This window comes from Homo sapiens, chromosome X (genome assembly GCF_000001405.40).
Source record: "Homo sapiens chromosome X, GRCh38.p14 Primary Assembly".
Classification (NCBI taxonomy): Eukaryota; Metazoa; Chordata; class Mammalia; order Primates; family Hominidae; genus Homo; species Homo sapiens.
The window spans coordinates 16834584-16841427 of NC_000023.11; the positions used below are offsets into that span (position 1 = coordinate 16834584).

At 45.1% G+C, this 6844-nt stretch overlaps 1 protein-coding gene and 1 long non-coding RNA gene across 6 annotated transcripts in view; one reads left to right on the forward strand and one right to left on the reverse strand.

Moving 5' to 3' along the window:
* Positions 1 to 6844, forward strand: part of TXLNG (taxilin gamma) — a 58054-nt gene that overhangs the window by 48118 nt on the left and 3092 nt on the right. For 4 of the 5 annotated variants that reach the window (NM_018360.3, NM_001168683.2, XM_024452400.2 and 1 more), the window contains 2 exons: positions 3010 to 3102; positions 5238 to 5333. In NM_018360.3, coding sequence (NP_060830.2) covers positions 3010 to 3102; positions 5238 to 5333 — 189 coding nt within the window. Of the gene's footprint in view, positions 1 to 3009; positions 3103 to 5237; positions 5334 to 5861; positions 5980 to 6844 lie in introns of those variants that run through there. The other variant, XM_047442249.1, reaches the window with a different exon arrangement.
* On the reverse strand, positions 143 to 5242 carry LOC124905251 (uncharacterized). Its single transcript, XR_007068399.1, has 2 exons — positions 4700 to 5242; positions 143 to 4277 (listed from the first exon to the last, which is right to left on the reverse strand). It is a non-coding gene; the product is annotated as an uncharacterized LOC124905251 (long non-coding RNA).

Here is a 6844-nt window from a genome sequence, read left to right on the forward strand (position 1 = left end):
AGTCTCGTGTCCCAGGAAATGCCCCGTCTCAGGCAGCCTGGGACGGTTAGTCAACCTGTCTTCAGTGACCCTTTCTAAGAGCCCAGATAATTCCTCCCTTTTTCAGTCGGTTACACTAAATTTCCCACTAAAGGAAAACTGATACATCTGCATATTTTATTTATTTTGTATCAAGTTGAACCACGTGAAATTGCTAAACAAGACAAGAATATGTCCTTGGCCTAAAAAAATGGCAATTTCATATAGTGAACTCTAATATCTTTAGAGTTTTGTGCTATAAGCACGTAAGTTGTTTTAAAAACTACATATAGCTGGGTGTGGTGGCACGCCTGTAGTCCCAGCTACTCAGGAGTCCGAGGCGGCAGGATCGCTTGTGCTGGTGTTTTTCATCAGGGCCCTCCCTCTTGTTCATTCCAGACCCTGTAAGTGTGTCCTGCTGTGATCTCTCTCTGTGGTTGCCTTGTGTGGAATGAGTGTAGGAGGAGTTAGCTCCTTAAAAAAAAAAAAAGGTACAGGAAAGACTTGCCGTGGCTTTACAGATGGGTAAAATTAGGCATTTCTACCTATACATTCATCCTTTTTTTCAGTTAACTAGATTACATTTGGCTGAAAGAAGTGTTACTTAAAAGTTTATCATATAAGTTTTTGTGAAGACTCTAGATTAGCTGTAAAATAACACTGAGACCTTGAGACTGGCATGATCTTCATGAGCACCTCTTTGGAGTGCTGCTTTTCTTTGGGAACATCTTACAATGTGATGAATTTAAGGTCCTATAAAGCTAGCCTAACTTAGAGTGAATATTCAAGAGGTGTCAGATATGAGGAATCTTTGGAACCGAAGATCATGCCAGAAAGCTTCTAGGAGATTTGAATCTCTTACTTATCAGCCCTATACAGTCAGTTGTCCATGTAAATAGAGATGAGAATTGATGTGGAGAAGGTACGAAGTCTCCAGATGGCTTTGGAAGATGTTCCTGAACGTGGGTGTCATTGACAATGCTGCGGAAGTCACCAGAGGGCCCTTTTACCAAGCCCCCAGGCCAGCTCCAATTCTATTGTACTGTCACCATCGTAGCTTCTGTTGTCTGTGATCTGTACCACTCAGAGTCCTCTTATCCAGTCACTATTTGTTTCCTTTGCTGTCACCTCTTGTTTTCCTCTAAATGTGGCTGTCCTTCCCAAGCATGTCTCACCTTCTCTGCCCTCACCATGTCATTTCCCAGCATCTGCTGGTGTAACTCAAAGTCTTTGTGCTGTCTTCACCCGCTGTTTTGTAATCTAGCCATGGAGGTCCATGTGTGATAATAGTGGCCACTTATTGGCTACCCACTGGGCCAGCACTGAACTCTCACATGGGACAGTCTTTATTTGGATGTTCCATTTTCAATAAAAGTGGACTGTGCCTGCGAGGCGCAGTGGCTCATGCCTGTAATCCTAGCCAAGGCGGGCGGATCGCTTGAGCTTAGGAGTTTGAGACCAGCCTGAGCAACATGGTGAAACCCCATCTCTATAAAAGATACAAAAATTAGCCAGGTGTGGTGGTGTGTGCCTACAGTCCCCTCTATTCAGGAGGCTGAGATGGGAGGATTGCTTGAGCCCAAGAGGGAGGTCGAGGCTGCAATGAGCCGTGATTGCGCCACTGCACTCCAGCCTGAGCGACAGAGTGAGACCCTAAAGGACCACATCAAAACTGCTGTAACTTCTAATGTCCCTCAGGCACTAATACTGCTCCCTCCCTCTGCGTGAGCACCACTCTTGCCCCAACTCCAGGCCTGTCATGTCAGAGGCCCCGTCAGTGTCTGCTAACAAATCCTGTGTGTTCTCCAGGTCACCCTGCATTTCTCTTCCTGCTTTGTCCTCATCCCAGGCCAGGCCCTTGTGCAGATGTGGCTTGGCCATCTCACAGGGACCTCGTCTAGCCTAACAAGCACAAGGTCACTGTGAGATGACTAACTTTCAGTTGGCTTCTGCGTCCACCACACCACAGTGCGTGCTGCTTAAGTGCTTCCGGGATGGCCCGTCCCCCTGCTGGCTGTGGCTGGGCGGGCACCATCATATTCCACCCTGCCCTGCATCCTGTGCGCTAGGTGGTGCTGGTGAATATTCTGCATCCAGCACTGCTTATGCTGTTTCTTGGCCTCTGAAGATCCTTTATTCTTCTCTGCTTTTCTTATATCTATCGTGTGATCTTGCCCAAAATACTTTATTCCTCTGGGTCTCTCTCTGTTCCCCTATCCTGAAAATAATGTGATTATGTTGGATAGTCTCTGAAAGGTTCCCTCCTGGTCTAAGATGAACTCATTCAGCTCACCTATGAGGGCCAGCTCAGGCCTCCCACATGAAGCTTCCCCTAAGTATCCTGAGCCTCAGTGTGCCCTTCCCCGTATACTTCTCTGGACTCCTTTCTAAGGGGGAGAAGATGGTGACTCCATTTTATATTTTGCTTGCCTTGTTGGTTAGCATTTTTCCCTCATCCTTAAATAAAAATTCCTTGAGGGTAGGACTATGTTAAGAGTAGATCTCTTTACGTTTTCTTTTAATTTTACTCTCACCGAATTCTTCTTCCCCAACCAAACCAATTCTTTGGCTTCTGTTGCATTTTCCTCCCTTCGTTAAGGAAAGAGATACCATTGCTATCAAACTAAGAACTCTGCAGGTGGTATTCTAAAGGAATGATCTTTTCCCAAGGACAGTTTTCACTTGGCAGGAGAGGGGTAGTTGGGCGAGCACTCCACATGCATGACGTTTATAGTCACCACATCCTTCAGGCTGTGTTATGACCAATGGGTGGAGATCTAATATTAAAGTCAACAGAATGTCCTCAGTTTTAATGCATTTCTGTGGGTTGTCAGAACTTTAGCCATCTATGTCTGGTGTCCAAGGATTGGATGTGCATTTGTTCGTATTTCTATCACTTGTAATAAGTAACCATACTACGTTCTTTTGAAAGTTTGGGAACTGGAATTGTTTGCATGGAACTCAGAATGTTTCATACTTTTTTTCCTATAGCTTTCTCTTTATATGGATAAGTTTGAAGAATTCCAGACTACCATGGCAAAAAGCAATGAACTGTTTACAACCTTCAGACAGGAAATGGAAAAGGTATTTACATATTTTTAGTAGAATAGTATATCAAATGGAATTTGTATAAGCTCTTTTAAGTGTGATTACTATTTTGCTGAGTTTCCTTTGTTATGATACTGTCTTCATTTTCTCTTTAGTGATCCTCCAGTGGCATTTTTGGTCATTTTGCCCTCAATGTACCCCAAGTAGCTAATGTTCTCTATGCTCTTAGAATTCTACCTTTATTATAGTGAAATCCTATATTAAATGCAACTTGTTAGAAATAAAGTGGTGGTTTTTTTGGTGTGTTGCTGTTTTTTGTTTGTTTTAACCACTTTAGAGGATCATCCTCAGCCCTCTCATAAAACTCTGTGTCCTTGGAGATTAACTATTGAAAGACATCCAAGCCCAGAATAATAATCATATATTTTGGTTGGTTGATATATCAGTGTTTCTACCTTTTTTAGCTTCTCTGTTTTTCTTATCTTTACTCCCACTGAATTCTTTCTCCCCTGACCCAACCAATTCTTTTGCTTCTGTTGCATTTTCCTGCCTATGTTAAGGAAAGAGATATCCTTGAGATCAAGCTAAGGACCAAAGTATATAATTCTATGCATATCCAGCCAGCCAGCCAGCCTTATTTTACTTGGCATCCTTCCCTTAAAAATGGGGGATTTAAAAACATAGCGTTGGGTTGGGGAGAAGTACAGTAGTGCCTGGCACTTTGTTAGCATTCAGTAGATGTTAGTCATGACTATTATTAGATCTCACATAGTGGTGGAGACCGTGCGCCCTGGGTTAATGTCCCAGTTGCATCATAGAACGTGTGACTATGGACAAATTGTTAAACCTTTCTGTTCCTTCACTGTTAAAATTGGTAACAAAAACCTGCCCTTCATGAAATAGAGTATTTCAGACAGTGCTTGGCACATTAACATGTACTCAGTTACCATGTGGCTGATTGGTGCTCAAATTACCACCTCCAGGTATTTTTAGACCTGGTAATCTGGAGAATTCCATGAGCAGCAGATTCGTTCTGCCTGCCAGTCCTTTCAGTTGAGGCTGCAATTGAGGGGGCGCTGTTAGGCACAGTGCAGGTGATAGCTGGACGCCAGCACAGACTCACTGTTGAGGTGGAACAGAGAGTTCCCGCCTCCTGGATCTGCCATCCTTCTGGTCCTCTGGGACTGGAACACATTCCTCTCTGTCCGTGGCTGCAGAGATCACCATGGGTCAGCAGTCAACCTAGGTCTTCCACCAGCTCTTCCCATGGCCTTTGTCCCGGTTTGCCTTGTGTTACAGTTTTGTGGGTAATTACCCAAGGCACAGGGCACTGGCTCTGTCTTATCCTTGTTTCCCTTAACACCACCTGGCTCAATGCCCCGACCTGGATCAGAGCTGGTGTGCAGTCAACAGTAGATGAAGGCATATTGAGAAAGTAGCTAGCTACAGGCATGGATAAATGCATCCTGAATTTCTGAAAATTGTGTTCTGGTAGCATAGGTTTAACACTTCCCTGATTTGGGGACCCACTTTATCTTTAGCAAAATCTGAAGTAAATCAGCCTCACGAATTGTGAGGATGACCAAAGCTGAGGTATTAACTACTTTTATCTTCTTGGTCACTGGAGTCTTACCTGAATCATGCTGCCTTGAGTTCTGAAACTGATGTGTTCTTGGAGGTTGTGGTGGAGTGTCAGTTCTTAATGTCTTGTGGGGCTGAAGATCGCTGTCCTCCCAAGAATCTGAGGAATTCGTTTAATGGACAGAAAACTCAGTCATGGGCATTTTTTCATACAACTTAGGGAGAAGGAGGGCTTGTCTCTCGCTACCCGGAGCTGGGATGAAAGCTGCACTTCAGCCTTAACTGAGTTCAGAGTGTGGTGGCTGACAGCTTCCTCCATGTGCTGCTGCCTCTGAAATTGAGGAGATTAAATTTGTTTTTCTCATAATACAAACCCCCTTCTTTGGTTCCACCCTAGGAGCTTCTGAGATAAGCTCTGCTACCGACAGGCAGGCACAGCTACTTCTATAAAGACACACACAGCTGTCAGCTGGGTGAGGGAGGTGCAGGGATGGGGGAGGGGAGGGGCACAGAAACATTTTTGTGTACTGGGACAGGGAGTAGAGATAAGGAAGGGAACTTAGAATTTAAATGTGCAATTGTATTCACAGATGACAAAGAAAATTAAAAAACTGGAAAAAGAAACAATAATTTGGCGTACCAAATGGGAAAACAATAATAAAGCACTTCTGCAAATGGCTGAAGAGGTGAGATGGTTTCCTGCGACTAAGGTGTAGTCTTAGTCATGGGGACTCCTTGAGTTCAGGTACCTATCGGGGCCGGGGACGTGTGCTGTAACACTACTACCATAGTTGAGGACTCCAGCCCGCGTTGGGGCGGGGGTGGGGATGAGTTGCTGGGTAGAATCTGTGACTTCTTTCCTGGCAGTTAGGTTAGGGACAGGGCCCTGAGTGAGGGGCTGAGCTTCCTACCACCCAGTTAATCAGCCCAGGCTTGTGTCGGAGATAGCATAAAACATCTAGATTTTGCTTTCTTCTACAGCAGTGATTTCTCAAACTTGAGCTTGCATCAGACGCCTGCTTGTTAAGACCAGGATTGCTGGGCTTCTCCCAGAGGCTGAGTCACTAGTTCTTGGGGGCGGAGGCAGATAATCCGCCTCTCTAACAAGCATGCAGGTGATGCTGATGCAGCATGTAGGGCCTTTCTAGCTTGACTTATTAGGCTTTCAAAAAAAGCAACAAAGTACGTTTTGCCTGTTTTATATAACACTTCAGGAAAGAAAGAAAACGCTGGGGCACATGTGTACAAGAACCTTGTTCTCGGCTGGGCACAGTGGCTCACGCCTGTAATCCCAGCACTTTGGGAGGCCGACGCAGGCGGATCATGAGGTCAAGAGATCGAGACCAGCCTGGCCAACATCGTGAAACCCCGTCTCTACTAAAAATACAAAAATCAGCTGGGCGTAGTGGCACGTGCCTGTAGTCCCAGCTACCCAGGAGGCTGAGGCAGGAGAATTGCTTGAACCTGGGAGGCGGAGGTTGCAGTGAGCTGAGATTGCACCACTGCACTCCAGCCCGGGCGACAGAGCGAGACTGTCTCAAAAAAAACAACAAACTTCTCATCTAAAAATTGGAAGAGGAGAAATCTATGTAGAAGTGAGTCATTTTCTGTATGTAGGCCTTTGTGTCTGCTACTCTTTGTCATATCTTGAATTTCCTTAATAGTTCAATAGGAAATGTCTTAAAAAGTTTATCTTTGGCTCACGCCTGTAATCCCAGCGCTTCGGGAGGCCAAGGCGGGCAGATCACGAGGTCAGGAAATCAAGACCATCCTGGCCAACATGGTGAAACTCCATCTCTACTAAAAATACAAAAATTAGCTGGGCGTGGTGGGGCGCGCCTGTAGTCCCAGTTACTCGGGATGCTGAGGCAGGAGAATCACCTCAACCCAGGAGGCAGAGGTTGCAGTGAGCCGAGATCACGCCATTGCACTCCAGCCTGGCAACAGAGCAAGACTCTGTCTCAAAAAAAAAAAAAGTGACAAAAGGAATTTAATTTTGTCCCCCTGAAACAATATGCTAAATCTCATTCGGTATAGTTATGGGTGCAGTCATGCTAGCTAGCTAGAATGTTAGGAGGCTGAAGAGACGGAACATGTTCCATAGGTGAGAAGTGTCCAATATGGCTGAGCTGGCTTAATTTTTTTGTAACCTGATTGATATTTAACAGGGTTACAGAAATCCTCTTTTTTCTTACAG